The sequence below is a fragment of the Homo sapiens genome, chromosome 2 (genome assembly GCF_000001405.40).
Source record: "Homo sapiens chromosome 2, GRCh38.p14 Primary Assembly".
NCBI classification, from domain to species: domain Eukaryota; kingdom Metazoa; phylum Chordata; class Mammalia; order Primates; family Hominidae; genus Homo; species Homo sapiens.
The window spans coordinates 120,910,978-120,936,514 of record NC_000002.12 but is presented as its reverse complement, the minus strand read 5'-3'; the positions used below and the strand labels follow the sequence as shown (position 1 = coordinate 120,936,514).

The 25,537-nt window shown below is 52.4% G+C and overlaps 1 protein-coding gene across 8 annotated transcripts in view, besides 4 other annotated features; it reads right to left on the bottom strand.

Annotated features, from left to right (window-relative positions):
• The window catches only part of GLI2 (GLI family zinc finger 2), a 256,786-nt gene that overhangs the window by 56,139 nt on the left and 175,110 nt on the right, over window positions 1-25,537 (bottom strand). For 7 of the 8 annotated variants that reach the window (NM_001371271.1, NM_001374353.1, NM_005270.5 and 4 more), the window contains one exon: window positions 9,049-9,154. The exons of the other annotated variant lie outside the window; for it this stretch is intronic. In NM_001371271.1, coding sequence (NP_001358200.1) covers window positions 9,049-9,154 — 106 coding nt within the window. The remainder of the gene's footprint in view (window positions 1-9,048; window positions 9,155-25,537) is intronic. 8 annotated transcript variants of the gene reach the window in all.
• Window positions 859-2,058: an enhancer, noted in NCBI's record as "P300/CBP strongly-dependent group 1 enhancer chr2:121692033-121693232 (GRCh37/hg19 assembly coordinates)". NCBI's record gives its function as "activates an origin of replication core promoter dependent on BRD2, BRD4, P300/CBP, MED14 and CDK7 cofactors, with strong dependence on P300/CBP, by STARR-seq in HCT116 cells {active_cell/tissue: HCT116}" and the evidence as "EXISTENCE:reporter gene assay evidence [ECO:0000049][PMID:35650434]".
• Window positions 20,425-21,198: an enhancer, noted in NCBI's record as "H3K4me1 hESC enhancer chr2:121672893-121673666 (GRCh37/hg19 assembly coordinates)". NCBI's record gives its function as "activates a minimal SCP1, AML or CMV promoter by ChIP-STARR-seq in naive H9 embryonic stem cells {active_cell/tissue: H9 hESC(naive)}" and the evidence as "EXISTENCE:reporter gene assay evidence [ECO:0000049][PMID:30033119]".
• Window positions 21,199-21,972: an enhancer, noted in NCBI's record as "H3K4me1 hESC enhancer chr2:121672119-121672892 (GRCh37/hg19 assembly coordinates)". NCBI's record gives its function as "activates a minimal SCP1, AML or CMV promoter by ChIP-STARR-seq in naive H9 embryonic stem cells {active_cell/tissue: H9 hESC(naive)}" and the evidence as "EXISTENCE:reporter gene assay evidence [ECO:0000049][PMID:30033119]".
• Window positions 24,264-25,207: an enhancer, noted in NCBI's record as "H3K4me1 hESC enhancer chr2:121668884-121669827 (GRCh37/hg19 assembly coordinates)". NCBI's record gives its function as "activates a minimal SCP1, AML or CMV promoter by ChIP-STARR-seq in naive H9 embryonic stem cells {active_cell/tissue: H9 hESC(naive)}" and the evidence as "EXISTENCE:reporter gene assay evidence [ECO:0000049][PMID:30033119]".

Below are 25,537 nucleotides of genomic sequence, written 5' to 3'. Positions count from 1 at the left end.
GGCAATCTTGGGAAGTTCTTAAATTCTGGGAACGCCCAGTTCTCGCCTCTATGAATTGAGGAGAAAATCCCCCACCTTACAGGGTGTTGGGAGGACTGAATAGGACACCACTGGCCCAGCACCCTGCAGGGTGTCTGCAGTGAAACTTGGCTTTCCTTCTAATGTTAGCAGGGCAGTGATGAGAGCAGGGGTCTCTCCGCCACTCGGTATGTCCCAGGTGTGCTTCTACATGCTTTACAGACACCCATCTAGTCCTCACAACAGTTTCACATGGGGAGCCACTATGTCCCCATTTTAGAGATGGGGCCACTGAGGCTTGTGGGGCTAAGCAAGCCCAAGGATGTGAAGAGTATAAGCAGCATAGGCAAGATGTGAGCCCCGGCCTCAACCCTGTTCTGTCTACATACTGGGGGTGTGGAGGGGAAATGTCCGACAGTGGGGACCCCGAGGGACAGGAGAGGAACCGAATAGTTCATCCCGATCCTGCCGCAGCCCCTCCCCCACTGCACGCCCACCTCGGCCTGCACATCAAGATTTGCTCCACTCCCTGGCCCCTCCTGCTCTCGGCTGACCACCACGGCTCTCTCCAAAACCCAGAGCCAGCAGCTCCTCTTGTGCGAGGGCTTTGGCGTTCAGTAAAGATCAAAGACCAGCCCGTCTTATCACACACGCTCCTCGTTAAACTTTTACAGGCCAGATTCCATTATAAATGAGCTGTCTGTCCCACGCAGCCCAGCGAGTGCATTCTTGGCTTTGGAATCTGAAGCTCTCAGAGCTGGGGAAGATTTTAGCAAGGGGTGGGGGGTCAAAATGCCCAGTAAGTAATCTATGCTGCTTACTAGGAGTGTGTCACTGGAAAGGCAGTCAGCCTCCCCATGCCTCGGTTTCCCCAATTATCAAGTGGGAGTGATTATTGGGGAGTGATAATCCCACCTTGCAGGGAGGGTGACATGACATAAGCCGGCGGCTGGGCACAGACTCCTGCTACTGCTCCTCTGCTGGTCTGACCCAAGTATCCCACAGCCCAGAGATGGGGAGGGGCCTGCCTGATGGGGTCTCAGGGCCGTTTACATCACAGTGAGCCAAGGCTCCACATCTAGTCGGTCTACCCTCAGACAGCCGTGGAAGGATGTGCTGCCCGACACATCGCCTGGACCCAGGGTTTCTGGGCTCCCTGTCTACCTGCTGTCCAGTTGCTCTGAAGAAGTGGTCAGCAACAGCCGGTTTTAAGGAAGAGCTCCCTGGAGATGGAGAGGCAGTGTGGACCCACGTGGAAAGGAAGGACAAGTTGCCTGGTGGGTGACGCTGGGCCCACCCAGCATCTCATCCCAGGGGGCAGGTGGACATGCCTTTCGGAAGTCTCCTCCTTCCTCTAGGCTCTGAAAAGAAACGAGCATGTTTGCAGAGGGAGGAGAAGGTTCTTCCCAAAAAACAAACAAAGCCAATCCTCTATGAATCGTGAACCTCGGGTGCTGTGCCAAGAATCAAGAAGAAAATATCTTTCTGCTCAACCCACCCGTCTCAGTGAATGACTGAGGACAGAGTCATAAAGGCCCGGGATGACACTGGTGAGTCACAGGCTGAGCAGGCTGCTGTGTTCATTAATCTCATGGTGAACGGTGCAGTCTTTATGGGACACTGACCTTGGAAAAAGCAATCTTCAAATCCCCCCAGACTGGAAAGTTCATGAGTTCGGCCCAGTGGCAGCAAAGAAACTACTCTCTTAAGTGAAGGCACACCGACACCCGGCTAAACATCCCCATTAACATGCAGTCTCGGGGACCAAGTGGGGCTTCAGACACTCTTAATGCTGTCTCCGGAGGCCCTGGGTAATATGCATTTTGCGTGACCAAGCATGCAGATGAAAGGGAGGTGAGGCCCCCATGCCCACCAGCTGGCGTTCACTCTATTGCCCTAACATACCTGGGCCTGGGTTGATAGCTACAACCCTGAGCCATCTGTGCCAGCAAGAGCCCCCTCGTCACTCCTCCAGGAAGGGTGGCCTTGGGCCGTGACTGCCAATGCAATGCAAACCAACTACAGCTCAGGATCAAGAGATCTGCAGGAAGCCATCAGCAGTGGTCAGGTCGGGGGTGGAGTCGTGGATGTCAGAGGTCAGATGGTGCCAGGCAGGAGGAGAAAGGAAGGCTGAGATACTGCAGCTGTTCCCACCCCATACACTCACTGCCTTTTGCAAGCTGAGAATATGAATAGGTTTAGGTCATATGAATAGGTTTAGGAGGGACTTGTCTGTGAATGGGTTATCACGAGGAACCAGGGGATTTTTAACAACCCGTGTTTTGGCGGCGAGGCGCTGTCAGTGATGAGTCCAGAAAGCCAACAAGCAGCTCTGGGGCTGCTTTCCCGGACGTCAAGCAAGCAGCGGCGCCTGCAGTGGTCCCCAAACTCTGGCCTATGGGCGCCTGTAAATAAGCAGATTTCCGGGCTTCACCCTAGTCTGAAAATCAACAAGAACTCCTGGGGCCAGGGCCTGAGAATGGGCATCTTTAAGACCCACCCTGTGTGTTCAGATCTGCAGCCAGGTTTGGGAACCTCTGCATGGGGCAGTTTCTGTACGCCCTTCTGGGCAGGAAGCAGCTGAAATTGGTCTTCTCTGAAGCCCCAGGGCAGGGCAGGGCAGGGCAGGGCAGGGCAGGGCAGGGCAGGGCAGGGCTGGAAAGGTCCTCAAAAGCAACATAGGGAGCTGAAGGTCCACCCCAGCCCCCCGAACCAGGAGCATGGACTTCTACATTCCTCTCCAGGACACAAGTTAACGCTGGCCCAGGGCAGGCCGGACTCATGCTTGTGTGACCACATACACTGAGGAAATGGGGAGCACCAACTTAGGGACCCTTCCTCGCCACACCTCAGCCTTGCTCCCCATGACACCCTGGCAAGCCTATTTCTGGGAGGCAGGGGGCCCAGAGGGCATCCAAAGAGCTTCTCTTTCCTGTTAGCGTCACAAGGTTGGAGAGACTGCTGGGGGTGTGTGGCCCTATTCACAGCCGGCCTTCTCTTCTCGCCCTTGTACAGACTCTTGGAGACTTAGGGATGTCCCCATGGGGGCTTCAAGAGAACCTTGCTTGACCAGCAATCACACACCCCTGCCCCATTTGTCTCCCCATCACTTGTGGTTTGCACAGCCCAAAGACACTGCAGCAGGAGTCCACGGGTGGGTGGTGACTTTCCTCCCCTGGAACCACGTGAGCATCAGTAAGCCATGCAAGCCTGCTGTGCATTTGAACCTTAAGTGACCGGGAAGGGTGCTCTGCAGAGGAGTGGGCTTGGGTGTCTATGAGGAGGCCATCGAGCTGGGCTGGGCTGCAAGGCTGTCCTCACACCAACCTCCATGCCCTGCCTTCCCCACGTGCAGCTGCCTGTTTACAGCCGGGTGGTCAGCCCTGGTCCTGCTCCCCTCTCCCCAGGGCCACTGTGGCAGCTCTGGCAGGTCCTCTCACCACAGTTCCCGCCCTTCTCCTGTCTACTCCCTAACTACTGCTGTAGCTGCCTGAAAATAAATCTGACCACTCCCCGCTGCTCCTGGTTGCCAAAAGGAGGAAGTCCAAATTCCTCAACTGGGGGAAAGAAAGACCCCCACCACACCGCACCACAGCACTCCTTCAGCCCCATCCCCCACCTTCTGTGCCACAGTCCCCAGACAGTCAACTCTCCCAAGGACATGCTGTGGCCGGCCTCTGCCACCCAGTCTCCCAGCCTGCCGTGGCCCCCTTCTCAAATCAGCAAGTGAGGATAACAACAATGATCACGATTGTTGCTCATATCCATTGAATGTTTCCAAAGTGTTCTAGACGCTTTACTCACATTACCCTGTCTCCTTCTCAAAATAACTCAGTTGGCTGGGTTATGTGGGTTGTCTCAGCAGATCTGGCCCTTCTATAGATGAGAAAGCTGAGGTGAGTTAATTCATGTTAATCACAGCTAGGGAGGGTTCGGCAATGGGTCCCAGTGCGGGTAGCCTGGCAGGCTGAGAACTGACAATGGCAGGCTCTTGGGTGATGACCAAGGTACTCCGGAGGGGCAGAGGGCAGGGCAGAATGAGAGAGTGCAGGGAACACCTCTCTGGAGCCTGCACACACTGGGTGCGCCCTCCCTGGAGCTATCAGGATCCTGAGAGGGAACGGGGAGGGGGTCTGGGTGCTTGAGCAGTGGAAAGCAGGAGGTGCAAGGGCTGAGGGGCGGGCACACCCACGAAATGGTCACCAGCTCAGGGCAGCAGGCTCAGGCTCAGGCTCAGCTGACACAGAAATGAGATGACACCGTACCTCATTTGCTGTGCAAACATCTGTGTAATTAGACACATTTGGTGCTGGCAGGGAGAAGCGAGCTACAACATGGGCTTGATGGATCGGGATTCTCCACCGGGCTCCAACCACATTCATCATGGAAGCCAGAGCCACGGGGCCATTTTCCTCACAAGCTTTGCCCTGGTTCTCACCTGGGACACTGGGGGCGGAAGAGGTGAGGGCATGGGCTTTCCAGAGCCCAGGGCCAGCCCCGAGGCTCTTGCTGTGTCCCCCACTCAGTCTGGCGGGAACCAACTGTCTTGAGGATAGTGTGGAGCCGCTGGAAGCCCACCCCAGCAGGACCGCGTAGGGACGGGGGGCTCTGGGAGCACCATGCTGCTGCCCATCACTGGGGCTTAACCAGACTAGCCCCTCCTTGGCTGGGGAGGAGATCTGCACCCCAGAGCCTGGTCTCCTTGCCCTCACGGAAGTAACTACCTTGCAGGGATGTCACACAGAAGTCACTGTGCCTCTCTGAGCCTCAATGTCTGCATCTGCAAGATGAAGCTTAACCCCCATCTCACAGAGCAATCAGGAAGATTCACCAGTACAATATACCAGGGCCCAGGGCCGTGCCTGGCCTGCTGCAGACCCATGCAAATTATAAATATGATTTACTGTATTCTACAGGCTGATGCCAGACTCCACACTGGGGCTCAGTGATCCCAAATAACCTGAATAACAGCCCCCAAGAACATCCACACCCTAATCCCTGGCATTTGTTAAGTGTTTCCTTCTACAGCAAACGGGACTTAAGAGACATGACTACTTTAAAGATCTTGAAATGGGAGCCACAAGTGGATTATCCCAGTAGGCCCGAAAGGCAATAGCAGGTGTCCTTAGAAGAGAGAAGCAGGGGAGAAAACTCCCACAGACTAGGAAGAGGGCAAGGTGAGGACAGAGCAAGGGGGAAAAGGTGATGTGTGTGAGGACGGGGCTGTAAGCCAAGGAATGCAGGCAACCTCCAGAACCTAGAAATGTCAAAGAGTCTCTCCTGGAGCCTCCAGAAGGAACCAGCCCTGCCAACTCCTTGATTTTAAGTACCATAAGACTTATTTCAGACTTCTGACCTCCGGAATGATATGAGGATAAGTTTACATTGTTTTAAGCCATGAAGTTTGTGGTAATTAGTTACAGCAGCCTTAGGAATCTCTTCAGGAATCCAACCAGTGAAGGAGCTGTGTAGGCCATGAGGGACAAGGCCATTTCTGTGGGCCTCTGGCTGGGCCACTCCTCCCTGCTGCATGCCAGCATCCACGGCCCCCTTCTCCAAGTGCTCTGCGCACACCCCACCCTCACTGGCAAGGGAAGGAAGCAGGCCCTACCCAGAGCTGGAGCATGGCAAAGCCTGGTGAAGACCCAGGCCCCTTCCCAGCCCAGGGCTCCCACCTACACAGGGAAGGACGGCACTGAGGGCCTCCCTTCTCAGTGGGGGCTCTGCCTGTAGCCAGGGCTGTCAAGCTGGAGCCTGCAACTGCATTACCTGCAAGGCGTGGCACACATAGACACAGACCCCTTCCGTGGAGTCTCTGACTCAATGGGGCTGGGCTGTGGCCTGAGGATCTGCAGTACCCACAACAGACTCCCAGGGGACACTGCTGCTGCTTGGCCAGGGGTTCTGGGAGCGACTGGACTCGGGGCAGTGCCCTAACGAAGGGCCGAGGTGCTGTCAAGAAGGGCTCGGCTGGACTCGTCAGAGGGACCCATGGTCCATACTTACGCTCCCACAAGAAAGGCCAGCATGCAGCGGAGGGCCTGAGCTCAGGGGGCTGGAACTTGATTTCTAACTTGCAAAGTGGGTGAGCCATAGGGTTAGTCATCTACCCACTCTGTGCTGCTTCAGTTCCTTCATTTGTAAAATGGAAAAACACAAAATGACTCTTTTTTGGGTTGTTGAGAAGATTAAACGGCATGAACACATAAAAGCATTTACAGCAGGGCCGGTTCACAAGGTCAGTTATGATGAGGAAGGCAGTCATCGCTGTTGGGGTCTTCCTACACTTCTGGTGGTGCCTCTACACACTTCAGGTGTATAGGGAGAGGTGAACCAGGACATTCACCTGCAGGCAGAAGCACTCCAGCATGGACTGTCTCTGCACAAAGCTCTCAGCATTGCCCAGGTCTCCTGACCAACATCCCGTGCAGGGAGCACTTTGAGGCAGGCCTGCTATGCCCAGGATCCGTGTCATGGAACCAGCCAAACATGACTCATGAGCAAGAAATCAGCAACAGCAACCCCCTCCCAAATAGGGACTGAGCTCCCTGGATGCTCCTAGGAGTCTCAGACACCACTGACTGGGCAATTTTTGGGTGGCCCAACTAGTTCCAAACACATGCACCTTCCAGAGGTTTCTCCAGCTGTGGTCTCAGCCACCTGCAGGTGGAGGGGCCCTGGAGGTGAGCAGAGGGTGGAAATGACTCCAACACCCACCAGGCAGACATAAGGCTGCGGCAGCGGATCCTAGTCAAGTGAGAACCAGGTATGCACACCGAAATAAAACAAAAAGTTCCCAACATGTCAACGGGACACAGAGGACAACTGGAAGGGACCCCAACGGCCAAATCTGGGACAACTGGAAGAACACAATAAATATTGGTAGTAATAGAGTATAACCCATAGAATCACACAAAAAACCATGCATCCATGTGCATAACAATAGACAACCAAATATACAAAGAAATGTGGGAGGCGGGACAGCTTTTCCTTACAGGAGAATTCCAACCACTAAATGTGGACAAAATGATAGAAACAGAAAATCGCCATTTGGCAAACACTAGTAACGACTGTTTCTGGCAAGAAGCATCGATGGATGTATAAGTTAACGGATGAAAATATGATAAGAAACAGGATATTTCCATATCCTCTAAGTATTACCCCACAAAATACTTATTAATTACGAACGGGACAACTTTAAAGCGGAGAAGCCAGCAGACAGGCCCATAACCAAATGATCAACATTTCCAGCAGTGAGAAGCGTGAAGATCATAGGCCTCCTGACAGGATGCCTGCAAAGGACAAACATCACTTTTATAGTATTATTCCCCAAAACGCATGATCCGAATGTCATCATGAAACAGCATCAATCAGGCAAACCCAAACCCAGAGACATCTTATATAGTAACTGGCCAGTACTCTTTAAAACTGCCAAGGTCATGAAAGACAAAAGAGACTAAGGAACCGTCCCAGACAGGAGATGACGAAGGAGTCTCGGCAACCAAGTGCCACGTGGGATCCAGGATTGGGTCTTGAACCAGGAAAAAAAGACACTAGTGGGCAACTGAGCAAATCTGGATAAGCTCTGTGGGTGAGTGAAGAGCATTCTGTCAGTCTTGGGTTATGTAAGATGCCCACATTTGAGGAGCTGCGTGAAGCATATACAAGAAAGCCTTTATGGTTTTTGGAACTGTTTTTGTATGACCTTAATTATTTCAGAGTAAAATATTTAAAAGTAAAACAGTTTTTAAAAAGAAAGTAGAAGTCCCAGGTTTGCTCCGTCTTGGGGAGGCAATGGGTGTCCGGAAACAGGACTCTGCTGAGGCACAATGCTGTGAGCACAGTGAGGGCCCAGCAAGTGTTGACTGACTTCACTGGGATGGGAGATGGTAGAGGAAGGAGGATGTGCCTTCATAGGTGGCGGCAGGCGGGGAGAGGCTCTCCACTCAGCGAGCACTGGTTGTACACCTATTCATGTCAGCATTGAGACACAGAGGTGAGAGGAGAGCTCAGAGCTGGCTGGGAGGCAGGTGCAAAAACAGATGATGATGCTGTGGATTGAGGGCAGCAGCCCCCGCTCAGTGTGAAGGATCACACTGCCCCTGAGGAGGTGACTCCTCGGTTGAGGCTTGGAGGTGGCCTGTTGGGGGGAGATTCCAGGCACACTGGGCAGGCAGCTGGCCCCAGGCACAGAGACATGGGACAGAACCACAGACAGCACCTTGGCATGAACAGGTGAGGGGGCTGGAGGGTGTGGGCATGAAGATGCTGGGTCGAGAGGGGTCTTGGGGCTGGCTGACCTTTGTAAGAGCTCTCCTGGAGGCAGGTGCGGGGAGCAGTGGAGAGTTTGGGGGTAGGGAGAAGGAGGGGCCTTCTTTCCTGGAAGGAGGACGGATGGGATAGCCAGAGACCAAGACTTTTGAGCCCTAAAGGCCAAGAAATGACACCAGCCAATGGGCTTAGAGGCCCCAGGTGGGTATGACAGGGACAGGGTTAGGCAGGTGGAGACCACAGGGTGACCCCACACCTTCTACCTGGGGACTTCAAAGCTGGGAATAGGAAGGGCCCCAAAGCATCACTTTGAGCTTGTCCTTTTAAGTATGGTGACTATACAATTTACTATTCAAAGGGGGACACTTGAAGAAGTGAAAAAGGGTGCTCTGAATTATTATGCTGGAACAACAGATACCTAAGATCACCTTACTTATATGGGATCTTAGACCTAGAGAGGATTCCCACTTCATGGATGAAGAAAGAGCTCCAAACCATGTATAGATACACCAAGGAAGCCCAGAGCCTTATAAGTGGTGATGTGGGCTCGGGGGTGGTTGGTGTTTATACACTGCCCACGCACATGCTCACACAGGGTCCCAGGCCATGATAGCAAAGGTGATCGCCCGCTCAGGACAATGTAGATCAGGAACCCCCAAAAGAAAGACAGAGGCAGGAGATGTGGCTGAGGCTGCCGGCCCAGCCTCCCCATGGCAGGTGACTGCACGCCAGGAGCAGCAGGCAGAGGGCAGGACTTACCCGTGCACACCGTGGACAGAATGAGGCTCGTAATGGTACCTTCCTTCCTGGTGTCGCATGTCAATCGGTAGGGGCGCATGGAATGGTGGCAAGAGATGCTGCGGCACTGCAGAGGGGGAGAGAGAAACAAGACTTCAAAAACTTTCCCCCTCCCTCAAAAAGCTACTTTCAAAGGGCTTTAAAGCTCAATGAATTTCATAGCAAGAGCAGCCAGGACAAGGGGCTCCGCAGTGCCCGCGCGATCACACACCCACGAAGGGGGATGAATAAATAATCAAAGTCTGCCCGAGAATTCTACATCTTTCACATAAAAGATCCCCAACTGCGCTCTTGACAAAGACAAGCAGCTAAGCACTCTTTGAACTCGGGGAGATTACAGGCAGGGCCACAAAACTGGGCTCAGCCCGCAAATCAGGGCTGACAGAGCGACAGGCTCCAACTCCGCCGGCTTCTGCCCATGCCGGCCCTGGCTGCGTGTGGCTCCAGCAGCACCAGGTTACGGCATCCGGATGCTGCAGTGCACGCAGGCTGGAGGTGTTGACCTAGAGCCATTTGTGATGGCACGGCCCACAGACGGTGCCGCCAGCCTCAGGAAGGCCAAATCCCACCCAACTGCTGTCCCGTTTTGCTGGCAGTATAAAGTGGACATCTATGTGGATCTGTTAGTTCTCCAGCTCTTAATATTAATTCTTGACCCCTAAACGCTGTCGGGTGCCCCCAGGATCGAAAACGCCAGCACGTGCGTGTCAGTTTCCAGAGCTGAGTCAGCCTCCTGTCTGAACTTGGCCTGCCCTCGACAAATCATCATGATAATTGTAGGATGCTCTTTGTTTATTAAAAGAAAAAATTCCTGGGTACCCTGGAGGCAAACATAATTATAGGCTTTAGGAAAAGAAGGCTTTTAACAAAGTAGTTATACTGGGAAAAGGGCTAAGAAGTGGGGATTTCTTAGTCAACTCTCCCTCAGTCTGAAGGCCACAGGCCAGTGGGAAGCAGGGTTAAGTTTGGATTTCTGAATATTTTAAAGAAATGTGGATGGGTTTGTGATAGGTATGTACAGGTCAGCTGACTGCTAGGCTAAGAAATGCAGACAAATTTTTAGGAGAGATGGGGTTTCATCATGTTGGCCAGGTTGCTCTCGAACTCCTGACCTCCATCTGCCTCGGCCTCCCAAAGTGCTGGGATTACAGGCAAAGAGCGAAACTTCACCTCAAAAAACCAAAAAAGAAACAGACAAACAAAAAAATATAGAAAAATAATGCTACTAACTGTTTCTGTGCAAACAGATTCTGGTACAATACCATAAATACTATGAATTCTTTTTTTTTTTCTTGCAGTAAAGACATCTGAAATTTACCATTTAAATCTTTTTTTTTTTTTTTTTTTTTTTTTTTGAGACGGAGTCTCGCTCTGTCACCCAGGCTGGAGTGCAGTGGAGCGATCTCGGCTCACTGCAAGCTCCGCCTCCTGGGTTCACACCATTCTCCTGCCTCAGCCTCCCGAGTAGCTGGGACCACAGGTGCCCGACACCACGCCCGGCTAATTTTTTTGTATTTTTAGTAGAGACGAGGTTTCACCGTGTTAGCCAGGATGGTCTCAATCTCCTGACCTTGTGATCCGCCCGCCTCGGCCTCCCAAAGTGCTGGGATTACAGGCGTGAGCCACCACGCCCGGCCCATTTAAACCATTTTTTTACATGCACAGTTGAGTGGCATTAAGCCCCTTTGCATTGTTGTGTAATCATCACCACCATCCATCTCCACAACTGAAACTCTGCACCCACGAAACACTAACTCCCATTACTCTCCCCCAGCCCCTGCACATTCACCATTCTACCTCCTGCCTCTATGAATTTCCCATGCTAGCTATTCCATGCAGGAAAGATCAGACAGTATTTGTCCTTTTGAGACTGGCTTATTTCACTTCGCATAATGTCCTCAAGGTTCATCCATGTTACAGCCTGTGCCAGAATCTCCTTCCTTTTTAAGGCTGAATAACAATCTATTGTATTGGATAGACCACATTTTTTTTGTCCACTCATCTGTCAATGGATGCTTGGGTTGAACACAATGGATTCTTAATGGGAAGAAATTTTTCTCCTGAAATTTTAACTTTAATTTTTACATGTTCAACTCCATCTTCATAATTTCACAATACTGGCACTTTCCATGGGGACCAGGAAAAACAAAAAGCAAATCTTCTCACCCTGATTCAATCAGTTTCCCCAACTCAGACTCAAAGAGGAGTTGGTTGCAGGCACGTGGTCCAAGCCTCTGGGCCAGCTCTCACTTCCAGAGCCACCAAGTGCTGGAAGGACAACCTTTTCTCTGAGGCCCTGGCCCTGCACAGGTGAGCCGGGCATGTGGCTGTGACTAAGGTGGCTGTGACGGGACCACCAGGTGCTCCGGAGGCTGGGAACCCTGAGGGTCAGAGCTCACTCACCTGCTGCATGACTTTTGTAAGTTTCTTTGCCTCTCTGAGTCTCCATTTGTTCATCTGAAAATGGATAACAGTAACTACCTACATGGCTGTGGTGAAGACGTAAAAAGCCCACACACAGGAGGCGCTTCGCCCGGAGACTGTGCAGATAGGACACACTCAACAAGTGTCACTGCTGAGGAGGACAAGTAGCACTCATGTTTGGAGCCTCCAAAGTCCATCATCAAACTATGAATTTACTAATGTGGGGCACAGGAAAACTGGCTCATACTGGTTGCAAACCCTAGGGAGGGTGGGGGGCCAAGCACTGCTTGCTCACAGACCAAGAGACCACTGGATCCCCAGGGAGTCAGCAGGGAAACAGTGTTCGCTTTCCCAAATGTGTAGAAAAGGGCCTTAAAAACATGGCAGGGCAGACCAGATTTCAGTATTTTGCCAACAAAATAAAAATGGTTGTGTGTGTATGTGTGTGTGTGTGTGTGTGTATTTCTAAATGTTTCCTTGCACATCCAGAAGCCCCCTGATGCAACTAGTGTTACTATGCCCATTAAAGAGATGAGGAAACGGAAGCCAAGAATGATTCATGGCCTTGCCCAAAGTCACAGGACTAAAAAACGACAGTGCCAAGAGGAGAATCGAAGGCTCTGAATGGCTTTTCCCTCCACCCAGCCTAAATGACACTCGGAGGCAGCTCCCAAGTGCCAGGGTGATCCCAGACCCCCATCGACCCACCACGTCCCCACCTTGCTATGTACTTTAGTTAACAAATGCACACACAGTCCACAGCTCTGCTTTCAGCACTTGGCAAATACCAGCTCCTGGGTCTTCCCAGCGACCCCAGGAAGCTGCATTCAGTCCAGGATTCCTTGGTCTTCACACAGGCCATCCCCCAGCACCCTGGTGTGCCTACCATTCATGGTCTTGCTCCTCCAGAGGCTGAGGGGGGGTCTCCTAATGCCATCAGAGCCCAGACCACCCCACCCTACCCCCAGCTATGAGCTGACATGCTCTGCTCAGGATTCAGGATTCAGGCAACTTCACCCAGGTCTATAAAGTCTATGGAACATTGTGAGCTTCAGTGGTTTGCCAGGCAAACATGAAGTACAGGTACCACTGAGGCTGCCTCTCTGCCCCACAAGACTAAGCCATGGTGTGTGTGTGTGTGTATGTACGTGTGTGTGAGGTGTGTTTGCATATGTGTGTGGTATGTGTCTACATGTAGCGTGTGTGGGGTATGTATATGTGTGTGCTGCACGTGCATGTGTGAGTATGTGCAGTGCGTGTATGTGTGTAGTGTGTCGTGTGTGTCTCTGTTGTAGTACGTGTGTGTCTTTATATGTATGTGTATCGCTATATGCGCATGTGTGTTGTATGTGTATGTGCGTTGCTGTGTATGTGCATGTGGTGTGTGTGTTGCTGTATGTGGATATGCTGTGTGTTGTATATGTATGTGTTGCTGTGTATGTGTGTGCTGTATGCGTGTGTTGCTGTGTGCATATGCATGGATGTTATATGTGCATGTGTGTTACTGCGTATACGTGCATATGTATGCTGTATGTGTGTGTTGTTGTATGTGCATGTTGCTGTGTGTATATACATGTGTGTTGCTGTGTATATGTACATGCATGTTGTATGCATGTGTTGCTGTGTGTATATGCATATGCTGTGTGGTATGTGTCTGCTGCCGTGTTTATGTGCATGTGTGTGTTGTATGTGTACATATGCATTGCTGTGTATGTGTGTGTTGTACATGTATGTTGCTGTGTATGTGTGTGCTGTTGTGTGTGTGTGTTGCTGTGTATATGTGTACGTGTGTGCTGTATGTGTATAAGTGTTGCTGTGTGTATGTGGAGGTGGTGTGTGTATGTTGCTGTGTATGTGTATGTGTGCCATATGTGTGTGTTGCTGTGTGTATGTGCATATGGTGTGTATGTTGCTGTGTATATGTGTGTGTGTGTGCCATATGTGTGTATTGCTGTGTGTACGTACATGTGGTGTGTGTTGGAGGAGGGGCCTGAGGCTTCCAGAAAGAGGCCTGGGGAGGGTTCCCACAGAGTCCTGCTATAGTGGGGCCTGCCGTCTGTTGTCTGGCAGCTCCTGGGGTGGAGGCTGTGGAGGTCACAGGAGAAGCACTTTCTCTTTCTCCAGGTAGGCAGGGCTGCAGGTGGCACCTCTTACCAGCTCTGCTGCTCTCCAGGAGCCTGGGTCACCTGTGGAATGTGCAGGCTGCACCCGTGCACTCCTCTCTCACCCCCTGGAATCCCCAGGAGGAGCCTGGGAACACGTGTTAGTGGGTCCTCCTGTCCTGGCGGTGATGTGTGAGGTTGGCCAGGGCAGAGTGGCAATGTGCCCACTAGGGTTGCTGTTGTGGGGGCTCATCTCCAGCAAGGTCTGCTGCCTCATGGGGCTTTGCTGACAGCACCTTTAGTTTTACCATTAACCTTGTTCTTATTCCCATTTTTCAGGAAAGAACATCAAGGCTCAGGGTGGTGGGACTCTACTTCCATAAGAGCAATGATCCATTGGGTGGTAAGTGACTGGTGGTCTCATAGTCTTTTCCCCACACAGCTCAGCCCAGCACCCAGCATGCAGCAGGCCTTCAGTGAGTAGGGCCTCTGGCACTGCTATCCCAATACAGTAGCACAGTGTTTGCCCCAGGATGGACAGGGATGTATAAGGCCAGCTAGTCGGCCAAGTTGCAAGGAGTAAGACCAGGGACCTGCCCAGACCCTTCCGCTCACCCTCAGAGAGAAGACCCCATCTATTCACATCAGCAGTTGTGAAGTATGAATAGCTGTCATCTAGAAATATTCATTCACTCATTTATTTATGCATGCATGCATCTACCTTGTATCAAGCATTTGCTATGTGGCAGGCACTGTTCTAGGCCCTGGGAACAGTGTTGTGACAAGGCAGCCCACACCATGGCCCAGTGAGAGGAGACAGGTGGTGGACAAGTCAGCAAACATATTTATAACATAGTGTCAGAGGGGGATGAAGCTAAGGAGGAAATCCACCTGGGAGAGGGAACAGAGGAGACATGGATGAGGCACGGAGGTAAGTCAGCCTCTTTGGAGAAGGAGCTTGGGGCAGAAGGAATAGCAAATTCAAAGGCCAGGTGTCAGGAGAACTCAGTGATTTCAGCATGAAGGCTAACTTGCCAGGCACAGAAGGATGGATGGAGGTGGAAAGGCAGGAGAGAAGGTCCTATCACACTAGCCAGGCCATGGGAAGAACCTTGGGATTTTTTTCTGAGCAATCTGGGAAGCCCCTGGGAAGTCCTGAGCAGGCAGTCACCTGCTCTGATACAACTTTTGGAAATGCTGTACAAGGAGGGTCCAGTGCTGTGGGGCAGTGGTGCCCATCCGCCAGGAATCCCAGACTGGCCCTGCCGCTAGGTGGCCATGGGACTTTGGGGAAATTATGTCCCTTCTCTGGGTCTCACACTCCTTGTACAACAGGGATTAGAGGAGCTATGAGGTCCCTTCCTACTGGCACATTCCTGCTATCTGTAAATGGTTGCCCACTTCCCAGGCAAAGGGCCTCGCTTATTCCAGCCAGTGACACCCCAAGGCTTCAGGAGGGACCTCCTGAGCAGGCCCAGACCAGGGCTCTGGGTGCAGATGCTGGCTCATCTTTGTGGCCCTGTATGTATAATGACTGACCCAACGGCCCTTCTAACCCACTTGACACACCAGCCCCAGCCCCAGCCCCAATCCTCTGAGCCCAGGTATAATAGGACAGCACCCCAACACCCCCCACCAACACACATGCACACACGTGCACACACAGTCTCTACAGACCACCTTTTCTTCCCAAGTAACCTGAGGGATAAAGGTTGACCCTGACTCATTGGTGGTCTCTTTCAGACCAGCACGGATTGTCCCACAGCCCCCGATGGAAACATTCAGAGGTGAATGCCTTGCTCAGAGCCCCCTGGCCAGGCTGAGGAGGGAAAAATTCTGCTTTCCAACTCTGGCAAGAAACTGCTGCATCCAGAGGCTGCAGAAGCCCACGAGGAGCATGAAGATGCGTGGGAAGAATAGGCGCTGCCTTGAGTGACATCCTGAGCCAGACCCTTACACACACAGCTTTCATTGTTGGCTTTTGTGTTTTTTTTTTTTTTTCAAGTAAAAGAAAAAATCCAAAATTAATCATGTCCTTCCGGCAGAGGGACAGACACACCATCCCCCTGAAAACATACACACCCCGTATGCCATTTCAAAGAAATGACTCTCTTTTTAAGTTTCTGAGGAAGAAACTCTAAGATGGGAATTTTCAATGGATCATCACTCCCCTCTGGAAAAAAAAATGCACATTTGTTTTTGATCCTACACAGAAAGCCCAACAGCCTGAGAAGCTGAGGGTGGCGGCGGAGTGACGGCTTTTTCTTTAAAATCCTGGAACTTTTCTACGCTGCAGTTTCAACACCAAATGTTTCTTGCTGGCGGTCCCAGGGCGAGCAGACATTGGTGTGGGCAGTGTACTGGGTGTAATGGTCTTCTTGTGTTAGTGAGGAGGGCAGTGAGGGGGCAAGGACAGCCCTTCCCCGGAAACCTGGCTCAAGTTAATGCCCCATTAGAAATGATCCTGTGGATTCCTGGGGGAGAGAAGGAGGTAGGGGTCTGCAGAGTTCAGACAAAGAATCGGGAAAACTGGGTCATGGAAACATGACCAGGCGGCCTCCATCAGCAGCCGGAGGAATTCTCCTCGGATGAAGTCATGTGTTGCCACAACGCAGAGGCACTGCCCCGTGGCTGGGCTCCCAGAGAAGCCTGAGGGCCTGTTCCACGGCAGAGAGGCCAGGGAGGTGAAAGCAGCCACCTCCCAGGACAGAGTGGCTGTGTTGGGGATGCCCCAGCCCTCTGGGCTGTCCAGTCCTAGAGATTAGCACCATCTCCAGTTACCATGGTCTCTTCCATCAAGACTGCGGGAGGGAATTAGCTTGGAAGCATGTGGTCGCTGTGCACCAGGCCGGCCTGGACCAGAGAAGAAACCGGTTTCAGAGAGAAATCGAGTTGCCCCAGCACTGATGGAGGGAAGGTGAGGCCCAGCCTTGCACCATACAGGTCTGTGTTACGACGAGGCAGCGCAAACACATCTCAGTGCAGCTTGTGGGCCCGGGAAGGAAGGCAGTGGCATGGCTGGGGCCTGGATCCCCATCCTTCTTGGGCAATTGGCCGCTCCAGGGTCACCATGTAGGAGGCCAGTGCGGTAGCTGCATCCATGACCAGAAATCAAGGAAGGGCGCATGAGGCCTTTGGTTCCAAACACCAGGGCCCTCAGCCCCTTGGCTGTGGCCAGGATGGGGAAGCCCGGTGATGCTGAGTGTTGCTGTGGAGGGTTCCAGGGATTGGCTCCCATGCTGCAGGTGTGAATCCCAGGGGACAGTGCTGGAGCCACGTGGAGAGAGACTCCTTTGGAGCAGCCATGTTGCACCCACCGGGTGGGCCCCGTGTCAGGACCATAGGTCCCCATGCCCTGTCCACCTGCCACACTCAGGTGGCCTCTGTGATGCCCACATGCACCTTCCCAGCCTTCAGGCCAGGAGGCTTTGGTCTGTGTGGGACCCTGGCCAGCACTCGCACACAAAGCACTCCTGGGGTGCCTGCTCTGCGTCGGGTCGGGCACTCTTACGTGAGGAGTGGACTCCAATCAGCTGAAGTGGAGGCATTCTTACTTGGCACGTCTCTGGGATGACTGGAGAAGGGCTTTTTGACATCCAATTTTGTTCCCACTATGGGGGACTTTGGGATTCTCCAGTTAAAAACTAATTTATCATGTTCCTTTAACTTAGAATTCCTTGCATATTAAGTAACATCCAGCACAGTATTATTTTCTTAGAAGCAAACAGAACTTGGGAGTCATGGGAATGGATTCACACCAAAGTGTAGATGGCTTACTGGTTGCTTTTCTCCTAATGGAAGGACCTAGGCACAAAATACACCAATATCTTTGGCAAAAGAAGGCGCTAGTGTAGAAGAAAGAAAAAAGCAGTAGAGGGGCAGGCTGGAAGTCAAGGTAACCTTTGCAGTCAGAGTGAAGTCCAGCTTGCTCCAGTGTCACACATCAGCCAGAGGACAGTCCTACAGGACATCACCTGTCCCTGTTGTCTAAGGAGCTTGGGATAGGAGCAGAACGCACCTGAGCCATGAATCCAGACAGACCTGAGTGTGAACCACGGCTCTGTCATTCGCTAGCAAGTAATGAGTGTTCCAAGCTTCAGTTTCATCATCTGTAAAATAGGAATGACATCAACCCAACTGCTGTGAAGAATATTTATGGTGGGCTGGGCGCAGTGGCTCACGCCTGTAATCCCAACTCTTTGGGAGGCCGAGGTGGGTGGATCACCTGAGGTCAGGAGTTTGACACCATCCTGGCCAACATGGCGAAACCCCATCTCTACTAAAAATACAAAAATTAGCCAGGGGTGGTGGTGCAAGCCTGTAATCCCAGTTACTGGAGAGGCTGAGGCAGGAGAATAACTTGAACCTGGGAGCTGGAGGTTGCAGTGAGCTGAGATTGCGCCAATGCACTCCAGCCTGGGAGACAGAGAGAGGCTCCATATCCAAAAAAAAAAAAAAAAAAAGAATATTTATGGTGTCCATAGAGTAGAAACCCCTAATAAGTCATAATGCCCTTCCCCATCTCTGAGCAGATGTGACAAGGGTCCCGGTGCTATGGTAATGAAGAGAACTTTTCCTCCATTCCCAGTATAAGGGACATTGAGATGTATCAGATAGAAACTCATATAAGGCATCCACCGATGCTCCCTCCTTCAGCCATCCAGGTCTGATCTAGGGATACGATGTAGTTCAGACACATCACCCCACTCATATGGCCTTGACATACACAGGGTTTGGGCTCCACCCAGCCCAGCTCTGCAGCTGTCTCTGGAATCCACGGCGGAGCTGCTCACCACCCAGGGCAGAGTTCTCCATGCACAGATGTGTACTCTGTGCAAACTCACTGCTTGACAGAGTGAGGATGCAGGAACTGATGAAAGCCATGGCTTTGCAGGAAAGATCTTCTATAAATTAATCCCTGCTGGCCACTCACCCCTATTCCCAGATGACCAATCCCCAGGAGGCTTAGGCTGGCTACTACAAGCTCTGGTGGTTCCCACCATTCTTTCCCTAGTGTCTGTGTCCATGCTGCCCGCAGAAAATAAGCAGGGGAGGGAACTTGCAAGGTGGTCTGGGAGTTCAGGTGAACACTATTGTGAATTCCGTTTAAAAGGAGGGCTCCCACTCTCCTTGTCTGCATCAGCCACATATCCCATGGCTGCAGCAATAACTCCCCTCTTGGGAAAGTCAGCAGCAGGAGAAGCCCAAGGCAGAAGGGATGTGACCAGGTCCCAGCCTATGACATCTCATGAAGGCTCCTCCTGTGTGCTGCAAGGCAGCAGCAGTGCAGAGGATGGGGTCTCCTCTACAATTCAATTATTTTACACCAAACCCAGTACTACTTCCCTCCAGGAAAGGGGGCGCATGGATGGCCTGGACAAAGCTGCAAGGAGGGCAAGGCTGGGCAGGGTACTGCATCTTCAGGCTGCTTCTGGGCTCTGCCAGGAAGCACAGGCTCAGGAGAACAGAGTGGGGCCTGAATGCACACATGTGCCATCTCGGGGCCCTGGGCCAGGTCTGAGTTGTCAAACAAGAACAGATGCACCACTGGCTACATGGTCGTCAATGACTCCCCAGTCTCAACAGAGAGAAAGAAAGTGAGAGTGATTGCTACTTTCCATTCCACGCTTAATGTACAATTTGATCAGTTAAACCACTTAATCCTATATGAAACAGGAATGTGAAGACACCTTATGAAATGAAAAATGTTAACCTCATGGGTAAGGATGGCGATCAGCACCGTCATTCTGGTGATGAACCCCAGAAGGCCAGCGCCCTCCCAACACCAATGATGCTGGATGTCAGCTTGCTGTTTGCATGGCTAAGGTCGCTTCTGGCCATTTATTCTGGGCTTGTCACAAATCCCATGGAGCAAGACTCTGCTCTCTCCTATTCCTGTGGAGATCCCAGGCCCAATCCCCAGGGAAGTTGTACCTAAAGGCTTCCCAGAAGATACCAGAAACGACGACACCAGCTTCAAAGAAGAGGCTGGATGCTCCCTCCTTCAACCATCCAGGTCTGATCTAGGGATACGATGTAGTTCAGACACATTGTCCCACTAATATGGCCTTGACATACACAGGCTTTGGGCCCCATCAAGCCTGGCTCCACAGCTGTCTCTGGAATCCACGGCGGAGCTGCTCACCACCCAGGGCAGAGTTCTCCATCCACAGTTGGAAGTCACAACCACACACCCTGCTGCAGGTCAAGGCTTCCCCTACTCGCTCAATGTAAGAGGACGCTGCTCATGGGCTCTGGAGGCCACAGAGAACAAGAGGCATAATTCCTGCCCACAGGGAGTGCCCCGGGGCGCTGCTGTGTAAGCCACTGCCACAGCTGGAGAGCCTGACCCTGCGGGATTCAGCGAGGCCCACGCAGCACAAACTGCCCAAGTGGCCTCAAAGTCAGGAAAAGATTTCCATGAGGTCTGGAGCAGCCAGGAAGGCTCATTGGAAGAGGCCAGACCTGGCAGAGCCAGAAGGAAGGGGGAGGATGGCAGGCTCTTCAGGCTCAGGGCAGTGCGGACAGTGAGCCCAGGATGCCCAATTGTGCCCTGGCACTGAACCGAGTGAAGTGTAAGCCCCGGTGCAAAGCATGTGGCCTCTCCTATACATACAGGATGAGGAACATCTCTTGCTGGCGTCCTCGAGAGGAACACATGATGTAATACACATAGTAAGAGGTACATGATGAAGCACCCACTAAGCCCTGATATCGGGGTTTCTCAGGCTGTTGCTGGGCCCTGTTGCCAGAGCTCCTGCCTCAGTGAGCCTGGGCATGTCTAACAGGTTCCCAGTGATGCAGATGCTGCTGCTCCAGGGACCACCCCGGGAGGGAGACTCACAGGCCCTTTGGCATTTCCACACTTGCTGTGGCTCCATAGTTCCCAGTTGCACAGTAAGGAAGGGGAAATCATTTATCATGTCCATGCGCCTACTAGGCATTGTACTAACTGGAGAAACTCAACACAGAAGATCAGAGAGGCGGGAGTGGGGGAGACATTTGAATCCTGGTGACCATTTACCAGTGCTTCTGAGCAGCAGCTGCAAGGGGTCTGGGTGCCACTGGGAATGCAGGTTTGGAAGGCATCCAGGGGTCTGTGCTTTTCGATGGTACATGAATGAAAGTGCACACCAGGGCTGGGAGAGGCTGCCAGGGACTTTCTCCCCTTGCTAGGGAGCCTTGGTCTGTTCTGAGATCCTGACACTTTCAAAGGCCAGCCCTTCAGCCACGTGAGCCCAGGTGACCAGGTGTTCGTTCGCAAATGAGGACGAAGTCACTGGCCTAAGCATCAGAGGTAGGAAGCACCAAAAGAGCACGAATCATGGAAAACCTCCTTCCCCAGGGCCTTATGCAAATGGCACCATGATTTTCAATAATAAGCCACAGGACAGGAGAATTCCAGAGGCCCTCCTGATGCCCAGCCACCACCCCACAGGAAGCATTTAATAAGAATAATATCCTGAATGGCCACTCCACAACGTGCAACTAAAAAGTGCTTCTGTCTCACTTGGGGGAAAAACGTGGGGGGAGGAATTAAAATCAGACAGGAAATTCCAACACCACGAGCTGGCTGGTGTCCGGCTGGCTGAGGCCCAGGCCACTCACGCAATCAGGCCTGCCCTGCAGACACAGCCTAGCAGGACCCGTGGCCTCTGCTGGGTCCGCCCACGCACACTGCCCACCCCAGGCTGAGGTGTTACTTGACAAATTAGCTGCCGAAAGAGAGAGTGTGCTGGGCTGGGGCCAGCACAGCCACTCCACACCAGGCACAGAGTTCTGAGACTGGTCTCCTGGTGAGGGCAGGTAGGGATGCAGAGGGACCTGCACATTCCAGGGTGAGGAGTGTGCTCCAGCCAACGCCACGGGAGAGGCCAGCCCCGTGCCATTTGGGTCTGGCCGCTCGGGAGCCAGGCAGTCATGGGATCTGTTCCCTGCAACAGTGGCCTTGAAGTGACAGGAGACAGGCCACAAGAGGCGGCATAGTGTCCTGTTGGACAGAGCTGAGGCTGCCGCCAGTGCCACAGCCAAGTCTGGCTTGATTGCTGACTCACCGAACCTTCCTGTGCCTCGGTGTCCTTATCTGTAAAATGAGGATAGGGACAGGACCCATGTCAGAGGGAGACTGTGAAGTGGAGAAGAGCTAGTGCAGGGCCAGGCACGCAGTAGGGCCCCGAAGGGTGCCGGTGTGGCCATCCCTACAGACCCCTCTGCTGGGCTCCTGCCCCTTTAGCAAGGGGTGGGAGACTGGGGTGAGCTCCAGAGGGACACCTGGGAGATCCCCGCCATCACAAGGAATGGGAGGGGCTGCCTGTCTGTCTGGGTAGACATGTAGAGTCCCACATTAGAGAATTTTAGGGCTGGAAGAAACAATAGGGCTGGTCAAGCTTGCTTAAGGTTGAAAACTCTGTCTTGGTCACAGAAGGTTTCTAAAAAAGTAGTGTGCAGCCTCCCCACTGCAAAATGCAATAGATTTGAAGCCCAGAGGACCATGGCTCCCAGGGACCCTGGCACCTTGCAGAATCCAATGCAGAAAGCAGGAATCCAGCCCAGGAGCTGGAGGAGACGGTGCCCAGGCCCTAGTGCTCCTTCCACCTGTCACAGGCCAGGGCTAGGCCAGGTGGCCTGGGATGGATTCAGGCTTTCCCCTAAAATCTTGCTGCCCCTTGACATACTCATTTGACAGTATACACTGGCGACCCCGTCAGCTGGCAGGGACCTTGTCGGCTAGCTATTGCAATGCTGACTGGTCCCCGGCAAGAAGCCCACTTGTCGCAGGTGATTCTCCCTTTCAGGAGGATGACCATGCCATTCCTCTGTCTGGTCCCCACGGGTCGTGAAGGTGTCACTTGCCATTCTGTGTACTTAACTAGCATCCAGCCCCTTCCCTGCAGAGCCCAACAAGAGGTTTCTTGATCTGGCTTATAGGTCCTGCCTTGCGTCCTGCCGAGAGCATCAAGTCCCAGCTTTGCACTCTGCCATAGCTCTTGAGACGACAGTAAGGCCACCACATTTGGTCTCCACCAGGCCCTGGTGATGGTTTCCCAGGCTGAGCCAAGGCACCTCTTTATTCCAGGCTGCATTCTGAGGCAGGGCCTGCCACAGACAATCAATGACCTTTAAAACCGGGCAGCGGAATCAGCCACCTGGACAAGCAAACGAGCACTGGGGCTGGACTTACTGTCTTTCTGCAATCAACAGGGGAATGACAAAATGCTCTCCATTCTTTCATCCAAGCAGGTCCCGTAAGGGCCACTTTCTGGGAGCCTCTTGTCAGTCCCAATAATTATGTTACTCAAAGGGATCCTTTACAATTCTCTCTACCTTGGACTAGAATCTTCCCTAGGTGTCCACTCATCCAATGCAGCCCTGGCCAACAGAAATACAATGTGGGCCACATATGTTATTGTAAATTTTCTAGGAGCCACATTTAAAAAAAACTAAAAAGAAACAGGTGATTATTTTAATAACACAATTTAATTGAACCAGTACGTCAAAAATACTATCACTTCAACATGGAACCAGTAAAAAAATTGTTAATGAGATGTGTTACATGCTTTTATTCCTACTACGTCTTCAAAACCTGGTACCTATCTTGCACTCACAGCACATCTCAATTAGGATAGCCACATTGCAAGCACTCAGCCACACACAGCTCGCGGCTACCCTACTGAACAGCTCAGGCCTAACTCGTTATCATTATTGACTTTCCACTGCTTCAGAATTCTAGTCTAGCTTAGTAAAAGTCCCATCAATACACAAAATATGGTGATGAGAATTCTCCCCAAACCTCAGTCCTTCCTCACCTTTGAATCTTAGCTTCCTACAGACTTCTATTTGGTCGCTTACATTTACTGATGAAAACACAGTTATTTTTCTTCCCTCCTTTCCTCCCTCCCTTCCATTCATTTAACTCACAAACGTTCCCAGAATCGTAGGAGGGTTACTTGCGATTCTGTGGGTGAGGCCGGTGCCCCGCCCAAGGGATTAAGTCAGCCTGTGCCTCTCTCCCCACCCTTCCACACCCTTGACCTCTCCGCGCAGAGCTGGTCGACAGCACCTCCCTTGTTCTGCCCTGGATTGCTGCCCGCTGCGTTCTTGATAAGCTTGGAGTGTTCCCAGACACGGGAGTGGGTGTGTGGACTCCCGAGATCTTCGACAAATAAGAGGGTCCGCAGAAAGCAAAGCCCATGCCGGGGTCATGAGGGGCAGTGCGGCAGGACCGTGGAGAAACACCGGGCAAGCCGTGTTACACTTTCGGACGCCTGGCTCCCTGCCCGTGTGATTCTGGACCCAGTTAACTGAATGATGGTTGGAGCACATGCCATTCCCACCACCCTCCCCACTCTCCCCACCAACGACCACTGTGGCGCATGGAAACAGTATTTCTCTTTGCTGGGATACGGTGTCCACCAGCAGGACTGGAGGCCAGTCCATGAATCCGTGGGAAGAGCCTGCTCCCCTATTTTGTTGGTTCAGAAACTGAGACACAGAATATGTGGTCTCATGACCCAACCCTCCAGCCCTGAGCGGTGCCCAGAATCTTATTTCCTAGAATAAGACTGTAGAAGAAAGGGAGGAGGAAAACATGCCAAAGCCTTCCTGACATCAAAAAAAAAAAAAAAAACCTCTTGCAAAACAATATTTTGATGAGCTAAGCATGTGAATTAAAAGCAGACAGAGTCTACTTCTTTTTAAATAAACAGGGTTTAAGATCTAGGGGAAAACTCCCAAATACAATGTGTTTCGGGGCCGGAGAAACCAGAGCTGCCCTTCCACAAACCCAAGAGCAGCCTGGCCTGTGCACTCTCATCCGAGGCGTTTGTGGGCAAAGGCCCTGCTTTGTGGGTCCAGTCACACCTCAGTAGGGGGACCAGGAGGAGGGTCTGAGTGACTGACAGGTGGTCCCCAGGTCCTGCCATTGCCAGCAGAATGGAGTCAAGAGCCCCAGCCTGGCACTCAGGACCTCCAGATCCTGCCCCACAGACTCTCCCAGCCCCAGGGTCAAATGACAGCCTTGCAGACCCCATGCCTCCTAGGCTCCACCCTGCCTAGAAAGCCCCTCCCCACCACACCCCCTCATCCTCATCATGCCAACTCAGCCTGCCCTCAGCAACCCCAGTCCACACGAGCCTGCCTCCAGGAAGCTTCCTGGACCTTTCTTCTGCCACCCCCCTCCACCGCAGGCAGACGATACTCCCTCCACACCATTTCCTCTGAGTCAACGACCAGCCCAGCGAGTGGCATGGAGGAGGTGAGGAGTATGTGCCCAGTGAGTGAATGAATGAATACATGAATGAGTGAATCCTCCCACTATTGGAAAACAGAACCCGAGGATAACAAGGGTGGCCAGTAGCTACCGACTGTCAGTCTAAATTAATTTAGGACCGAGGAGAGAAAGCCATGCTGCTCGGGGCCGCAGTAGGAGACAGAGCAGTTTCTAGGAGTCAGCCACGCACTGGCCCTTCCTTGGAGACTGGAAACCGCAGTGGTTCTAACAGCCAGTGCACAGGGCTTCCTTCACACTGGAGCCTTCCTGAGCATGTTGCATTTGTTAACTCATTTCATCCTCATAGCAATTGATGAAGGTATTGTTACTATTATCTCCACTTTAGAGATGAGGAAACTGAGGCACAGGAGCGTTCAGTAACTTGCCCTGGTTCAGTCAAATGGCTAATCTGTGTCACAGCCAGACCTCATGCCCATTTCTCTGAAATTCCAGACATGGGTGGGGTAGGGTAGGGCGGTATGAGCTCTTCTTGGACCAGGAAGAAGAAATGAGGCCGGGGGAAGGCCCAGGTCCCAGTCTTTGCCCGACTCATCCCCTGTTCTCCTGGGTGCCCACTCCCCCTCAGGGCAGCCTGGGCCAGGCATTGGTGTAATAAGGGTCACAGGTGTGTGATGGAGGAGGGAGCAGTACTCTG